We start from the raw sequence: 17,910 nt of genomic DNA, 5'->3' as shown, positions 1-17,910 counted from the left end.
CCACTGCACTCCAGCCTGGGCAAGAGAGTGAGACCCAGTCTCAAAAAAATAAAAATAAAGGAAAAATAAAGAGAAGGAGGGAGGGAGGGAGGGAAGGAAGGAGGAAGGAAGGGTGGGAGGGAAGGAGGAAGGGAGGGAGAGAGAGAGGGAGAGGGAGAAAGGAACGAAGGGATGGAGGGAAAGAGGAAGGGAGGGAGAGAGGGAGGGAGGGAGAGAAGAAGGGAGGGAAATAAATGAAAGGAAGAAAGGGGAAAGAAAAGAAGAAAGAGGGAGAGAAAGGAAAGAAAGAAAAGAAAAGAAAGGAAGAAAGAAGGAAGGAAGGAAAAGAAAGAGAAAGAAAGAGAAAGGAAAAGTCCTCTTGCTCATCTGAACCCTTCCTCCCATGCTTTCTCCCTATATCAGTTTCCTAAGGCTGTGTAACAAATTACCACAAATTCTGTGGCTTAAAACAACAGAAATGCATTTCCTCATAGTTCAGGAGGCCAGAAGTCCAAATCAAGGTATTTGCAGAGCTATGCTTTCTCTGAAGCTTCTTGGGCAGGATCCGTCCTTGCCTCTCCCAGTTCCTGGTGGCTCCTGGCATTCCTCGGCTCGTGGCAGCATCCCTCCAGTCTCTGCCTCTGTCTTCACACAGCCTTCCTTGCTGTCTCTCTGGGTGGTCCCTCCTCTCCTCTTCCTCTAAGGACACCAGTCATTGGATTTGGGGCCCACCCTAAATCTAGGATGATTTCATCTTGTGATCCTTAACTAGTTTCACCTTGCAAAGAGCGTTTTTACCAAACAAGGTCATTTTCTGAGGCTCCAAATGGACATGAATTTGGGGGAGGACACCCTTTAGCCCATTACGTTCCTTCATGGTTCCTCCTCTGCCCCAGGCCCCCACTGAGCACTTGTGCTTCCTCAGCCCCCAACAGCCCTCCAGGATCAGACATTAGCCATGCTCCTCAGCTTCGGTCCAGGGCAAACAGCCCCGCTCCTTCCACAACTCTCTCCAGCCCTAGTCTCACTTCATGATCTCCAAACTCATCACTATCCTCTTCATCCCCTTCTGGACCACCAGTTTGTCAAAGTCCCTCTTAAAACATGGCTCTTTACATGGAGCCCAGGAACCAAATTCCCAGCCACTTCTCGTGCTGGGCGCAGTCCTCCTGACAAGAGAGCCTAGGTTGGCAGTGCCTTGGGTGGCTGAGGGTGTGACACTCTTGCCCGGGGCCCCTCCAGCCCCCAGGAGCTACCTTGTCTCCTCCAGCTGCAACTTCAGCAGTTGATTTTTTGACCCTAAATTCAGGATGTTGCATTTGCCCCACTGAGGTCCCCTGTTGGAGGTCTGGGCCCCGTATCTGTAGCCTCAGGAATGGAGTGTTTTTGGGCCCAGTGCTGCCCTCTGCTTCTCCCTTACAGCCCTAAGTGGAGAAAGCACCAGGGAGTTGGAGAAAGTCTCAGCTTTGGGGCCTGGCAGGGTGGATCGTGCCTGTAATCTCAGCATTTTTGGAGGCAAGGCAAGATGATCACTTGAGGCCAAGAGTTTGAGACCAGCCTGGGCAACACAGTGAGACCCCATCTCTACACAAAATTAAGAAATGAGCTGGGGGTGGTGGCATGCTTCTGTAGTCCCAGCTATTTAGGAGGCTGAGGTGGGAGGATTGCTTGAGCCCAGGAGTTGGAGGCTGCAGTGAGCTATGATCGTGCCACTATACTCCAGCCTGGGTGGCAGAGTGAGGCACCACTTCTTTAAAAAAAAAAGCCTCATCTTTTGAGGCCCAGGTTTGAATCAGCCTATTTTCCCTGTTCCCCCTTAGCTCTACCGCAATCCTCCCAAAGCAGCTCCAAGCCAGCCCTGGCCCTTGGGAGGGCAGGTGGCCCCTCAGACGGGGTCTCCTCCTGCCTTCATTGGTGTAGCTGGAGCACCAGAACGGGGCTGTTGTTAACACGGAAGGGCCTGAGACAGAGACTCAGATCAGACAACTGCCTCTCTCTGGCATCCCCCATCCAGGGCTCTGAATTCTCACTCAGAAACACTCACTGACTGAGCCTTTGGTGTGCAGGTTGGCGACAGTGTTCCTTGGGCTGGCCCCTTAGGCTAAAGCCCTAGCATCTCAAGCCTCAAAGACTAGCCCCCAGCCCCAATCCTTAGCTGTGCAGAGGGCATGCACAGCAACCAAGGTCCTGGGGCCTTGCTGGAGCTCAGCCTTTCAGGAATTTGCAAGCAGTGAGAGTTCAGAATTCTACAAATAAAGAAACTGGGGTCAGCAGGAAGAGAGATCAGGCCTGCTAAGCTCCGGCATCAGAGCTCTCTGGAACCCCACTCAGGCCAGCTGCACCCTCCCACTGGCTGCAGAGGCGGAGGAGGAGAGGAGGTGGGAGAACTGAGGCTAGGTGCTGCCCCACCCTCCCTCCCCAGGCCCCACTGCCCCCACCTGCAAGGAAGCTTTCCACACAAATGACAAAGAAGCTTCATCAGGCAGGACTCCCTTAGCCTCCTCATTCTCTGGAAGCTCCCTCTGTCCCCACTCTTAGATCTGAAGATCCCATCAGCCCCTCCCACTGCCCCTGGGGCTTCCTGGAGCTGCCTGTGCCATCGTATAGCACACCTTGGCTGGATTTTCTGATTATACACACACACACACACACACACACACACACACACACAGAGTAAAAACCCAAACACCACAGAAAACTGTAAAAATAGAAGGTAAAAAAAAAGTGACTTCACTACCCAGAGATGATAAGTGTTCATATTATCCTGACTTCAAAACACCTGCCTCTTGAGCCTTCTTTCTCTCTCAATGAATATGATTTTATGTAAATGTCATATTATAAATACACTTTAGTAACCTGCAGTTTTGTCAAAACAGTGCATAAAGGACATGTCCCCATGGCAGTGAACCGAGATGTGTATCGCGACCCTTCCATGGCTGCCCAGTAGCTCTCTCTGTCCCCTAACCGGCATTCCATACAGATGGACGCAGACGCTGATGGCTTCTGCGGTGGTAACAGCTGTGTAATGGGGCTGCCTCAGCACACTGCTCGTTTGTGTGATCAGCTCCTTTCTATAAATTCCCAGATGTGGATTTGAAGGTGAAAGGGCATGCTTATTTCATGTCTTGATCTGACCACCCAATGTCTTAAGGTGGTTGGGGCCCTCCCCGGGGGAAATGCGGTAAGTTATTTTGGATCCTGAGATTAATGGGAAGTCACTTTGAAGCAGGGAAACAAGGCTAACCAGACTGGGGCTCCTTGAGGGCAGGGGCCAAGCTCCCATCCAAGGGGAGGCAAGAACCTGCCACTCGGGCAGGGCTTCAGAACTGGAGGGGTTAATTAGAGATGGATCCAGAAATCTATAAACACCCGGAAATGACTGGCATGTGCTAATTTCTTCTTTAGTATTCACAATGGCTTTCTATTAATTAAGAAGAGACAGAGCCCAGGGGAGAGGCGACAGGCCGGGCATTCTGGCGCTGTTGGGCTGGGCAGGCTGCCCATCCTGGGTCTGCTGAGGGTGAGGGGGTAGCCAGGGCCCAGTTCGACCTTGATGGCACAGGCCAAGGACAGCATCGCTCTCAGGGACCCTCCTTGGGCAAGAGGCAACATCGTGCATGGGACAGGCAGCAGCTTTCAGGTATCTTGTTTTTGAAACTCAGTGACTGCTGGCTCTTGAGGAAACTGGGGACACAGGAGGCCCGGGTGGGGGATTAGGGTCTCCCATTTCCCAGGGAGTCCTTTCCATAGCCATGCAGGGACAGGGTGGACAGAATCCTTCCCCCATAGCTGATGGAGGAAGTGAGACTATACTGAGGTTTTTGAAGTGGGTCCACTTCTTTGGGTGTGATGGGCAGGGAGGATCCCGCCCTCTGCTGCTTGGCTGCAGGAGTAGGATTAGAGGATGGAGACCACCCTCAGTTATATCCCTCAGTCCCGCTTCATCACATGCTCGCTGCCCTTCCCTCCTGCTCCACCACCCCATAGAAGCTAGGGCTGAGCCAGAGCTCTGGCCCAAGTCACTCTGGACAGATGGGAACACCTGGAGATAGCCTGGGTTTGGGCGTGTGCACTGTGTATACGTGTGTGTGTGTGATGAGTGTGTCCACTGTCTTGTCTGCATGTTCAATGTGCATATCATTGTGTGTATGTGAATGTATGAGTGTATGTTCAAATCCCGACTATACCATTTTCAAGCCTCATGTGCCTTTGGGCAAGCTACCAAACTCTCTAGAACTCATTTTCCTCATCTGTAAAATAGGAATGGTGATAGTGCCCACTTCGTAGGGTTGCTGTGAAGATTATGTGAGTGTGTGTAGCACACTCAGAACAATCATTGTGTTTGAAAAGCATCTTTAGTCTGGAACCCCTTTCCCTTCTCTACTACTCCATTTATTTGGTGAGTTGCTACTCATTCTTCAAGACCCAGCTGAAGTTCAGGCAGCATCAGGTCCATGTCACAGTGCAGGAAGATCTACCCTTAGAGTCCTGGGCTCAGGGGCAGAACCTCAGTACCTAAAGAAGCAGAGAGGAGCCTGTGGTCCCCATATCTCATAGTCAGAACATGAATGTACAATGATGTGAACACACGTCAGCATGGGCTTGTACACATCTGTACAATGATGCGTGTATATACACAATGTATACCCACGCACTCACAATCTGCATGGATACAGGAGGTACAAATACTTTGTCCTCAGCATTTGCAGACGTAGGACTCACACACATAACCTTGGCATGCATAGTGCGCACAGATATAAGCCCTCCATTGTCTACAAACATGATGTAGAAGCAGAACTTATACACACACGCTTTGTACACATTTAGTACTTTGTTCACACATATATACAAAACGTATACTTTCTACACATAAACTGTTACATAAACTCTTTGTATATGCACAATGCAGACATAGAATGCACACCTATGTACACACATGGCATGGATGTATTCTTTTTACACAAGAATAACAAATACACTTGCACACATGTGTGTGCTCACACACACACACTGTACAGTCCCAAGTGCAAGGCCTCAGACTCTCACAAGCCACACAAACTGGCCTGTAGCTGCCATCCCTGGGGAAAACTCATCCTGAGCCAGTCCCCTCCCTTTAACCTTCAGCGCTGAAGGCTGCATTGGACCCACAGATGGGGAATTAATTGGTGTCATTAACATGAGGCATTGATAATGACTTCTCATCGATCCCTGTGGCAGATGTATGGCCACCCCAAGGTGGAACTGGGAGCTCAGGATTGGGGTCTGGGCCTCTCTTGCAGAGCCTTGATCTTTGGTGGCCACACTGGATGCCCCTGTTCCTGCACACAGACTGTGGTCAGGCCCCACCTTGCTGGATTCCTCGCAGAGCACAGAGGGGAAAGGGAACCCAGGGGAGATAAGCCACTTGCCCAAGGTCACTTGGCCTGCTAGAGGCTGGGGCCACCTGGGCACTCAGGACTCAGCCCCTCACATGTGAGCCTCCCCCGACCCCGTCTGTGCTCTCCCACCCCTTCTGTAGAAGTCGCTCTTGTCCCTCCTTTCCCTCCGGCTCTAACCGTCTCCTGTGGGGCTGGCCCTGTTCACAGTCTCTGTCCTGTGTCCTGGGGCCTTCAGTGAGACTGAGACCAAGAAGTGGAAGGGCTTGGCTGTAGGAAGGAGAGGGCCTGGGCTGCAAAGAGGATGAAGGTGCAGAGGCTGGCCTGGGACAGACTGACAGACCAGCAAACTCCTGCTCCTCCAAGAGGCTGCCTTCTCCAGGAAGCCTCCCCTGATGGGCCCACTCCAGGCCTAGCTGGATCCCCTTCTGATGCTTCAGCAACTTCTTCTCTATCCAGCCCTTATCCCACAAGGTTGTAGTGGTCTGCTTCCCCCTTTTCCTTCCCCACTGTGCCGTGAGAAAGTCTTCCTGTATGGACTTTGTCTAACGATCCCTGCAGCTCCTTCAGACTTACCCCAGAACAGGCAAGTAGTAGGTGCCTAATGGATGTTGAATAAATGGAAATAGACCGAGACAGACAGATAGACAGACAGATATACAGACAGGCGGAAAGGCTGAGACCAGAGCTGGAAGGACAAATGGAGAGGGGTGCTGAAGCCCGAGTTCCAGGACTCTGTGGGGTGGAAGGTGGGCGCATGGGCCTTGGGGGCTTGGCCAGGTGCCCAGTAATGGCAGAGAGTCTGTGTTCTCGGGGGCCCCCTAGAGGCTTCGGGTTCCCTTCCTGGGTTGGAGCCAGGCTACTTCCTCCTACCTGTCCTCTCAGGAGAGAAACGTGGGAAAGGTAGCTGAAGGCCCTGCAGCCGGGAGCTGGGCTGGAAAGTGGCAGTGGGTAGGTGGAGGTGGAGGGGTGGTAACGGTAAATGGGATCCAAGGAATAGGATTCAGACTCTGTGGATTCAGACATGGGCAGAGGCTGAACTCATTCCCAGCAGCCCCCTGGAAGCCCAACCTGGGTCAGGCCCCTGGGGACACCCCCAGAATGGCTGGCTGCACTGAATTTGTTACTGTCACTGCATTTCCAGGGCTTATAATGAGCTGCTAATGAGCTGTCAGCTAATTATGAGAATTAAATGGGGCAGCGGGGCTGAGCTGAGTGTTGCTGAAAGCTTCTGGGGTGTCCGGCAGGGAGGGAAGGTCCCCGTCAGCTTCCTAGCCCCCTCATGAGGGTGAGAGTGGAGGAATTTGCTCTTGAAGAGAAAGGGAGAACTCCAGCAGCCCCAGAATAAGGCAATTCCAGCCCCACAGCTGGGGAGCAACTGCACCTCAAGGCAGGGCAGTGAGGCCTGTGGAGGGCAGCTGAGTGGCCCCAGAGGTTTGACTCTCTGTGTGACCTCAGACACGTCCCCCTGGGTCTAGAGTCTTTCCTTCTATCTGTAAAATGGGTTGGGAGGAGGAGAAGGGACTAACCAGCTGTTCCCTGCTGGCCCTTCCTCCCATCTCAGCCCAATCATGACACTGTGACTCCTCCCTCTTCATAGATGTGGCTCAGAGGCTCCCAGCTTTGTGAGCATAGGGATTTGCTTGGGCGGGGCGGGGGGGGTCACATGAAATAATTGGTGAACCCAAGTGGAGAAATCTTTAACCAATAGAAATGAGTGCATATGTTGACAGGTGCAAGAACATTCATAGCAACTATATGCGTAGGAGAGCAAAACTGGTACAACCCCTACGTCCATCAACAGAAGAAGGGATAAATAAATTGTGGCATATTCATACAATGAAGTAGTACACAGCAATGAGAAAGAACAAACTACGTACATAGACAGTCTTCATTTTATGTGATTCTGATATGCACAAATTCCAGTTACCATGGTTTAATTAAGCAGTTTCAGTCTCTCAACAAGGTGGTTCAAATTTCAGCCACCATTTTACTGGCATATTTTAAACTGTGAGTAGTGGCCTAAGGGGTAAACTTCCCTGCTGGCTCTTCAGTTTGCAGGTTGCTCCATCAATAGCAGATACATATCATGATCAATGACCAATCACATCACTCTTTCTAAGGCCGTTGGTGATTGGACACTGGGCATCTGCCAGGCAGTTCACACACAGCAAAGTGTGCAGTTGTGTTGTCTCTTTGTCTTCAGTTTAGAAACCCACATGACACTTCAGAAAAATCTCCAACTGAAAGAAGGAATTAGTTAACAAAGAGGAAATTGCAACAAAGAAATGAAAATGATAATGCTAGAAGTAAAATTCGACTCCAACGTAAATGGAGTTGTAGAAGAAATAGCTGACTGGGAACGTCCACCGACGACGTCGCCACCATTTGGCTCCACATGTGCAGCAGAGGAACTTAGTGAAGACGAACGTATTGACATAAACGAGGAAGGAGGTTGTGATGAAATGGATGAACATGCCCCAGAGATAGTGACGCTCGCAAAAACACTTCACACCGAAGGAACTTCCAGAGATATTTCGCAACATTGAAAACACAAAGGAGGAAATGTTGGAAGCAGATCCAAACTCAGAACACAGTCTGACAATTGGCCAACACATAGAAAAGATGCTTGCCTGTATTGTAAGTGACACGACCAGCACTGTTCAATCTGCTCTTCATAAGCTTTTTACAAAGAAATGAAACACTTTAATTCTTAATGTCTCTGATGTCTAAAATTGCATCAGAATTAAAACTAATACTAAATGAGTATTAGTTTTACTATTGTTTTTATTTCCCAACTATATTTATAACTAACAGTAACCGTTTTTAACGTTTTGACAAAGAAACTTCTAAAGGTCACAGAACAATTATACTTTTCCTCCACTGACTAGGATCTCCCCGTGTGATTTCAATTCGCACGGTTGTTTGTGTGTCCTGCACGCACCGCTGTGCAAAGCGAGAGCTGCTGGTACATGCACCTGCACAGATGACTCTCACAGAGACAACGCTGGGAAGAAGCCAGATGCAAAACACAAGTACAAACTTTATGATTCCAGTCACACGAAGTTCAAAGGCAGGCAAGACTAATCTATGGGGGTAGAAGCCAGAAGAGTGGTTACCTGGGGGAGGTGGGGGTACTAACTGGGTCATGAGGAAGTCCACTGGGGTGTGGGATATATTCCAGATCTTGATTTGGGTGGTGGTTTCAGGCATATGTAAATTTATTTTAAAAATCATCCAGCTGTATACTGAAAATGTGTGTACTTTATGTAAAATATTCTTAAATAAATAAATTTTTAAGTGGAGAAATCCTGTGAATTTTGTGCAGCTCCATCTTCAAGAATTTGACAGTATTCCATGTGGCTGGCCTTTTTCCCCTTCTTCACTCTCTTCCCTCGCCCGCCCCCAGTAATCCGGCCCTCCTGGTTGCCCTTCCCTCTCTCTGGCTACTCCTCAGCCCATGCCGGACTTCTCAGCGCTAATCTTCACTTTCTCCCACTTCGGTCATCACCTGCTGCTCTGGTCCCGCCCAAGGGGCACCTGCTCCACCCTGGAGCCCAAGCTCACCCAGAACCCTCCCCAGGCTCACTCCCTTCAGGTGTGCAGTGCGTGACCCTGTCACCCTTGTCTCCTCAGTCTCTCTCAGGAAGGAAGGAAAAAAGGAAAGGAGGGAGGAAGGAAGGAAGGGAGAGAGAGAGGAAGGAAGAGGGAGGGAGGGAGGAAGAGAGGGAGGGAGAGAGGCAGAAAGAGAGGGATGGAGGGAGGAAGGAAGGAGGGATGGCAAATGGATGGGAAAAAAAGGAGAAGGAAGCTGGCTGCTGCTGAGGAAGGGGCAGCTTCAGGGAGAGGCCGTGCAGGGCAGGAGCTGCTCAGGGAGGATCTGGGCCTGATCCCAGCTCTAGAGAAGCGACACCCCATTAATGCCTTCCCAGCCAGTGACGTGCCTCCCTAATGGAGTCTGGAACTCCACACTATTAGCCACAAATGGCGTTTTGAAATGGTTTTTTTGTTGGGTGAACCCCAAAGACATTGCTAAGATTTACATTTTCAAATATATGCTGACCTTTTTTTCCTCTTTCTTTGAGTTCATTTGTCATCAGTGTATAATTGAATCAATATATTTCCCGATCAGCCCCAAGATTGAATAAGGTCACGGGGAGCCGTGTGTGGGCATTAGACATCATTATTTCACTCCGAATGAGCGACCATGGCATGGAGCATTCCGGGCGCCAAATGAAATTCCATTAGATTCTATTACACTTTTACAATTATAGAGACGTTCCAATATTACAAGGGGAAATGAAGTCATCATAAAAAAGCCCAGAGGTGTATTACAGAGAAATGGGCACACTATTTTTCTAGTTAAAAACTTGATGGACGGAGCTTGACTGGCTCTCGGTTGCCGATATGTGACCTTGTTCTCAAAGCCCCTCAGTCGCTGGGCCCCGGCCCTCCCTTCCCAAGCCTCTGCTGCCCAGAGAACAGTCAGAGCCAGAGTTTGGAAGGCAGCTCACCCTCTCTAGTCAAACTGAGTCCAGCTCCTAGGCCCCATGGAGGCACAGACTTGTTCCAAACTGATGTCACATCTGGGGCAATGAGGCAGCCGAGATACTGAACCGTCCTGGGGAGGTGTCTGACCAGGTGAGAAAGAAGCAGAGTGGCCAAGCAGGCATGTGAGAGGGTGGCCATGGGCCCGCGTGAGCACAGGCTCCTGCCCACTGACATATGGGGCAGGGGATCCAGCAGTGGTGGGGTGGGTGCCCACTCGCTGCCGTGGAACACCCCCTCCATGCCACTGTGCTGCTGTGTGGGCCAGGGATCCTGCCATCCTGTCCTGACCCTTGCAGAGGCGTTCCACCAGCTCCACGTACAGATAAGACAGAGCCCAAGGTGAGCAGCTGGTGGGGCTTCCTGAAGAAGCAGAGGAGACAAGCTAGGCTTTGAGGGATTGGGAAAGCCTGGATATAGGGATAAGAGAAGAAGAGCCCCAGAGCTCAGAGGGGAGGAGAGACCAGTGCAACGAAAGGTCCAGAGGTTGAGGCGAGCCTGGCACATTGAGAGTCAGGGATTGGTGGGGGCGGTGGAGAGGGCAAATGCTGGAGAGTGAGCAGGTGGGTGGGGGCTGGGGTGAAGGGCGGGGCCTCAGCCTCTTGGGAGACCTGAGGGCAGGCAGGGGTCTGGTCAGATGCAGGTTGGTGGCTGCCCAGGAAAGGCTCGATGTGGAATGAGGTGCAGGCTGGACAACCACCCAAGGGAGGCAGGACAGGGGGCCAGGAGGGAGGCTCAGGCGGGTCTCTGAGACCTGGGTGGTTGTCCCGGACCATCTTGGGAAGAAGGAAGTGACAGAGCCTCTTGGGAACAGGCATGGAGCCCTCCCCTTCCCTCTGGCCCTGCCCAGGTGCAGGGATAGCTGGTGGATAGATGAATGAACCTCAGGCTTTCCAGGAACACTGTTAGGTGGGATAATGGTTCACTAACCTTTCGCTCCCCTCTCTCTTGAGGTATACATTTTCCCACCCAAAAATGTTGGGCCTGGCCGTATGTGGTAGGCAGAATTGTAAAGGTGACCCCCCAAGATTCCTGATCCCTATTTTTCAATGCAACGCTAATTTAGGTACTGCTGTGGAGGGATTTTGCAGATGTAATTAAAGTCCTAAGTCAGTTGACCTTATGATACAGAGATTATCCACATGGATCTAAACCAAGCAAGTGAGACCTTTAAAAGCAGAGCATGTTCCCTGGTTAGCAACACAAAAGGAAGCCAAAGAGTCAAAGCACGAGAAGGATTTGTTGCACTATTGCTAGTTTGATGATGGAGGGAACACATGACAAGGAATGCAGGCGGCCTCCAGAAGCTGGGAGCAATGCTGGGTGCCAGCCAGCAAGGAAACGGGGACATCAGTATTCCGAGGGCATGGAAAAATCCTGCAGCCGCAATAGCAGGAATGAGCCTGGAAGAGGAGCCCCAGCTCCAGATGAGAATGCAACAGCTGACACCTTGATTTCTGCCTGGGCAGAGAGCCCATCAGACTGTGCTGGACTTCTGACCTACAGACTGTGGACTCATAAATGGGCATTGTTTTAAACCACCAATTTCATGGTAATTTGTAAAGCAGCAATAAAAGACTAATATATGCCATGACTTGTATTGGACAATGGACAATGGAAGTGACAATGTGGACCTGGGGCTAGGCCTTGTGTGTTTCTGCCTAGCCTCTCGTGCTCCTTTGATGGTTAGAGATGAGGAAGTGCAGGCCCGGGAGCTGTGCCTTCTGCTGGGCCAGAGGAACCGGCCTGAACCCAACAAGACCCTGCAGCCATCCCTTGCTGACCAGCATCCTGAAGTGGAGTCACCCAGCCAACCTGCAGACCTGGGAACAGGCAAATCAATGTTGCTCTAAACTGTGGAGTTGTAGGGTGTCATGCCACCATCAAGTCGCAGCAATAATTGAATTTACAGATACCTGCATCTTAGCAGCAGCCAGGAACAGACTGGGACAAAGAGGCAGGGGCTGCTTTGAGGTCCTAGAGCAGTCCTCTTGTGCAGGGGTGAGCCCTGGAGGCCAAGGCTTGGGCTGAGCCAGCCTGGACCACAGCACTGGAACATCAGCTAACTGTCCTTACTACCACCCTGGGTGTGTCTGCATGCCCTTTCTGTTGGGGTCACCTCTGGAAGTCACCATGCCTCACCAGGAAGTCTCCTTTCTTCTAAGAAAGCTGGAGCCCCATGGCCTTTCTCTTGCTGCTAAGGGGGATGCTTGCCTTTGCCCAGGCAAGTTCTGCTAGACCACCCCTGTGCCAACTGCACAGGAAAGTGTCAGGCCCTTGCCCCCGAACTCAGGGGACACAGGCCACATCCCCTCAAGAACCCCTCTCTCTGATTGCAGGGCAGTGCTGTCCCGGCCCTGGGGGAGAGGAGGGGAGAAGAGCAGCTCTACATGGTCGCTCCAGAGAAATCCTCACTTGTCTCACCCACCACCTGGAGGCAAGTGACTGAGGAGGCGCGCAGGCCTATGAGGCTCTCTGCTCAGCAAGCCTTGCCCGGACCACCCAGCATCATGCTGTTAAGACATGGGGTCTGGGCTTCTGTTTTCCCCAGCATTGGACCTCAGTTTAGACCAGCACCTCTCCCTGCCGTTTTAAAATTTACTTTGAAATAACCTCAACTTTACAGAAAAGTAGGAAGTCCAATACGCATAACTTTTTTCCCTGAGCCATTTGAAAACACAGGGTGATGACGTGGGGCCCATCAAGAAAACACTTCAGCATGCATTTCCCTCAACACCTTCTCCTTCAACACAGCAAAATCAGCAAATTAGCACTGACATATAACTAGCAGTCAGTCTTCTGCCCCACTCAAGATGCACCAAGCATCCCAACAATGTCCTTTAGAGCAAAAGGACCCAGTTTTGGGGTCACACATCTCACTCAGTTGTCATGTTCCTCTGTCTCCCTCAATCTGGGATAGTGCCTGGTCTTTCCTGACCTTATTGCCTTTGTGATGACAGGCCGGTATTGGACAGGCTGTCCCTCAATCTGGGTTTATCTAACGTTTCTCAAGGGTCAACGCAGGCTGTGCGTGTTGGGTAGGCCTGTTACTGTGGGCTCATCCCCGCGCTTCTTGTCGGGAGGCACAGGGTTTTGACTGTCCCATTGCTGATGCTCACTTTGATCACGTGAGGAAGGTGGTATCTGCCAGCCTTCTCTCCACTGTAAATTTATTCTTTTTCTGTTTGTAATTAATAACTATGTGGGAAGGTATTACGAGACTGTGTAAATATCCCATTCCTCATTAAATTTTCAATTTATTCATTTATGTCAGTATGGATTCATGGCTTCCTATTTCTTTCAATGGGTTATAAACTGCTACTATCATTATTTATTTTGATGTTCACGTTGCCCCAGATTTGGCCAGTGGGAGCCCCTTCAGGCTGGTTTGTCGCAGCACCCGCCCCCTCTCACTGTCCCAGCTGTTCCTGGCCATTCCTCGGGTGGAAGAGTACCTGGATGACCTCTACAACCATCTCTTCACCCTCCAGGCGCCCTGTAGCAGTGCCTTTAAGACTACTCTTTCAGGCCGGCATCTTGAGCGCTCATTTCCCAGCCTGACGGTTAGACCTTGGCCGGAGGGCAGACCTCAGCCCCTGCCCTTGGCTGGCACAGATCTGGGTTGAGCACACAGGCACAAGGCGCCCCCACTCACCAATGCATTGGAGGCGGACTGAGCTGTTGGCTAAGGGAGTCTATGCAGCTTCCTCAGGTGTGAGCAGGGTGGGGTCCCAGCTCATTTCTAGAGCTCAGACATGCCCCCCCACCCCAAGCTGGGACTCCCCCAGTCCTCAAACCCTGACGTCTTCCAGTGTGGTCTTCCCTGGTGTCCCAGGAGAGGGCAGGGTTCAGCCCGGCTCTGCGGCCACTGGTGGGCAGCCGGTGATTTGTAGGGGAAGTGCAGGAGAAGGCCCAGTGGCAGCTGTGTCATAATAGAAGACATGTGGGCAGAGTCTGGAGAACCAAGAGAGGGCTGCTTTGAGCTCAAGCTAGGAAAAGAGGCTGAGTGACACCAGGAGCCTGTATGGGGAGGCGGGGCCAGAGAGACTCTGGCCATACAGGCAAGCCCCTGTTAAACCAAACTTCAGAGTCGATAGTGGCCAAGCTGAGCTGAGTACCTGCAATTTTCTGGCTTCAGTTGTCTTACCTCTTCAGACATTTCCTAATGTGGGGCTCTGGTGACACACTGGGTGTGAGCTCATCTGAGCTGGTGGCCCCATGTAGAGCTCCCCTACTCCAGTTTTCAGGAGCAGTTTGCATGGCTCAAAGGTGACCCTAGGGTGCACCTGAAGGCTGCAATTCCTGGGGGATTCCTGGAGGGGGACTGTGGGCCTCCTCTTCTTCCCCAGCCTTCTCCTAGTGGGGAGGGGTGTGAGGGCAGGAGGACCCTTGGGGAGTTCAGGGACTTCCCTGCAGCAGGCTCCTGCCCCTCCCGCGGTTCCGAGCCCAGGTTCTGGCTGTGCAGAGGCCTGGAGCTCAAGGCTAATTGTGAATTAGGAGCCCAATTATGCCCGGCACAACTGGCTCTGCACTGCCTCCTCTTCCCGACAGACATGTATATTAATAGTTGGCACTTATTGAACCAAATATGAATATTCATCTTCATTTATATTTCAAGGCCTTTCCTCCTGGAGGCCCGCGGGGCTGCGACCAGCTCCAGCCCCATCACGGAGCTGACAGCTCGCACTCCTGGGCCCTGACTCCTGGCTCCGCGGGCTGCTGGGCGGGCTCCCAGCTGTCCACAAACACTCATTGCGGGGGCCGGACCCAGCGAGCTGCAGAGAATGTGTAATCGCGCCGCGCGCTGCTAATTAGGGAGCCGATGGGGCATTGAGGGCAAGAGGACGAATTCTTTAAACAGAGGACGGGAAACTTGAAGAGCTGTAATTACTTGGAGCAGAGTTCATTTCAGAACTTGGGAGCCAATGAGTCTGATGACAGCCCTGCCGGGAGGAGGGAAGAGGGCAGGCCGGGAAGGAGGGAGACAGCTGGGGCTTGGGCACCCAGGACCTCAGGCTGCACAACTGCGGGGCAGCGCCTCCACCTTCATTTAATGCAGTCCAGCTGTGTGGGCCCCGCCCCACTTCAGGGACGGCTTCCTCTAGCTCAGGGCCAACTTGGGGTCAGGCTCCTGTCTCTCTTGCACAGTCAGCTCCAGAGTGCTCCCCTGGCATTGGGGGTCATGCGGAGTGCTCTCAGCTCCACCAAGGGCCTTGGACCTCCATAGACAGTCACCACTGCTGAGAGCCATGAGTCACGGTCCAGCTATCTGACAGCTGGTGTCCCTGTTTCCCAAAGCCAGCGGAGATGAGGGTCTTCCGGCTCCTCAGATGCCCCAGCCGGAATTGGCAGGAATTGCTATGGACAGAGGGAAAGTTTACAGGCTCTCCAGAGCCTCCCAGGCATGTCCCTGATACTGTTGATCCTTTATAGGAACTGCTTCTTCCTGGGTGCCCTCATGCTCCAAATCTGCCCCCATCAGCCCTAAGGTCCCCCCACGCCCCCACCACTGGTCTTCTTTAAACCTCCCTGTCTGACATCCCACCCACCTCTCCCACGAAAACCTCACCACTGTCCGCAGGAAAGGATGACAGTGGCGAGCCGTCGGTCCTCCCTCGCAGGGCAGGGTCCCCTGTCAGCCAGTCACTTTGGAGGAGTTTGAGGCCCCCACTCCTTCTTCTCCCCCTCCACAGCCCCTTCCCCTAAGGCCCAGTGCCACCTGGGTCTCACAGGACTGCTGTGGGCAGGAAGAGCTCCAGGCTCACAGTCAAAGGTGGACGTGGATGCTCCTGGGTGGATTTCCCTGTCTCTGTTCCCACTGGGGTGAGCTTCATACCTGTAACTAACGGGCAGATTCCTGCACACCTCCTGTAAGTCCCACTCAATTTTCAGCAACTGTTAGATCTGAATCTGTGCTCTGAAAGGATGTACTTCCTCAGTTAGCAAAGTGTAATCCTCCGTCCCCAGCTCCCCACCCCTGCACCCCCTGTTACGGGGTAGAACGGCGTTTGGTTTCTTTCCCGTCAGCTTTTACTCCCTGTTACTCAAGGAGAAGCTCCTGGCTCAAACTCCATTTGTCAGGTCTGCAGCCTCACTGCAGAACAGACCTATCAGCACTCCTTCTCCATGTGGCTGCTGTTTGTTGCATGCCAACTGTGATGATGATGGTGATGGTGATGGTGACAGCAACAAAAGCTACCATTTACGAAGCGCTTCCGACATGCCAGGCACTGGTCTAAGCACCTTGTGTACTCACTCGTTCAACCCTCTCAGTAACCCTCAGTGGATAGTATTAGTATTTATCATCCCCATTCTACAGATGAGGAAGTGGAGGTTCAGAAAAGCTTAGTGGCCTGTTGGTAAGTGGCAGAGCAAGATGTGAAAGCCAGTCCACCTGGCCCCAGAGGCTGTGCTGCTGGCCTCAATCCCTGACTGCACCTGGAAGGGCGGGCCTGGAGCTGCTGCTCAGGCTGGACAAGGAGAGGAAGGAACACCCCGTTTTTGTAGATGGAGAGGACAGGGTCAGAGGACAGCCAAGTCATTCCTCCAGGTCTCACCCAGCTGGGCACCAGTTGTGCGACCCAGTGGGAAATCTGGGCAGCATCTCCTCACTTCGACCTAGAGCCGTCCAGTACCGTAGCCACTAACCCCATGTGGCTATTGAAATAAATGAAATGACAGATTTGATTCCTCAGTCAGACCAGCCACATTTCCATGCACAACAGTCAGGTGTGCCGTATTAACCTCTGTGGTTATCAGTCACCCCATACTCAGTGCATGTGGCCTGCCCAGCTTGGGGTAGAACTTTGAGGCTAAAACCTTTGGGAATCTTCTCCCTGGCACCCTCCAGGCCTCAGAGTACTGACTGCCTGGTGAGGGCAGCATGGGAAGGGTCTCTGTGGGAAAGTTGATGGGAAAAGCCCCACCCTCACACCTGCCTCTGCAGCCCTTGTTCAAGCCTCAGAAGCCGCAATTAGCAGGCAGCGGCCGCTGCTTGAACCCGTCGTTCCCCTCCTCCCGGAAGCTGGAGGCCAGGCAGCTCCAGCAGCTTTGCTCTTTTTTTCTGCAAGAAGAGATCAGAAACAGAAGCATTCAGGCTGCGCCTGGCTGGCTTCTCTCTCGGCATGAAGTCTGTGCCCAGCCCTGCCAGGCTGGGCTTCCAATTACGGAAGCTCAGCTTCAGCCGCGGAGGGGCCGGCGCCCAGCCAGCAACCCACCTGGCCCCCTCCTCTAATCAGAGCCTAATTGATGTGGGCTTGCCCGCAAGTCTTGCAGCACTCCTCTTGCTTCCCCAGCCCCAGCTGCTGCTCCTCAGGGAGCTCAGCCCTTTGTCCCTGCAAGTTTGAAACCATCTGAACAGAAGGTGGCAGCTCTGTGTTCACAGCATTCTGGACTTTCTTCATGCCCCTGGGTGGAAGTGTACCTGGATGGTTTCTGGGAGAGGATGTTCAAGTCACCTCCCCAGTTGCTTCCTAGACCTGTGCTTGAGCTGGGTGGGGCTGAGCATGATGTGGGGTGTCTGAGGGGTGTGTGTGTGTGTGTGTGTGTGTGTGTGTGTGTGTGTGTGTGAGGTTTTGCAGACTTGTACTCTGGAATGTTGATCTGCTAGGGAATTAGGCTTCTAGCTCTGAGTATGAGCACCTGCCTTCAACCTAGGACACCTGGATGCCCTTAGGACTGTACCTTAGGATAGGATATTTTATCTGGGGAAATAGGATGAGGAGGAATGAGGAAGGGAAATGAGGGTGAGAGCGGAGGTGGGGTAGGGATGGGAGGATTCTGGGAGGCAGTTCCGGCCGGGCCTGGCAGGGGTTTCTCCTAACTGATGCCACCTCGTCCCTGGAGCTGTTTCATGTGGAGAAAGAGCAAGGAGGAGAGGAGGAGACACGGTGGGTAACATAGTGTTCTCATCTTGGCGGCTCACCTTGCAGTTTGCAAAGTGATTCCTCTGGGTTTATCTCCGTGGCTCTGCAAAGCAAGCAGGGCAGGACACTCGTGCCCAGTCTGC

The 17,910-nt window shown here is 52.3% G+C and overlaps 1 protein-coding gene across 2 annotated transcripts in view, besides 1 other annotated feature; it reads left to right on the top strand.

Annotated features, from left to right (window-relative positions):
* STK33 (serine/threonine kinase 33) overlaps positions 1-17,910 on the top strand; it is a 259,405-nt gene that overhangs the window by 222,283 nt on the left and 19,212 nt on the right. The gene's annotated exons all lie outside the window — the stretch shown is intronic.
* Positions 17,352-17,421: an enhancer, noted in NCBI's record as "active region_4384". NCBI's record gives its function as "activates an Ori minimal core promoter by ATAC-STARR-seq in GM12878 lymphoblastoid cells {active_cell/tissue: GM12878}" and the evidence as "EXISTENCE:reporter gene assay evidence [ECO:0000049][PMID:35858748]".

This window comes from Homo sapiens, chromosome 11, assembly GCF_000001405.40.
Source record: "Homo sapiens chromosome 11, GRCh38.p14 Primary Assembly".
NCBI lineage: Eukaryota > Metazoa > Chordata > Mammalia > Primates > Hominidae > Homo > Homo sapiens.
The sequence above is the reverse complement of the archived record's forward strand: the minus strand, read 5'-3'. Positions and strand labels throughout refer to the sequence as shown.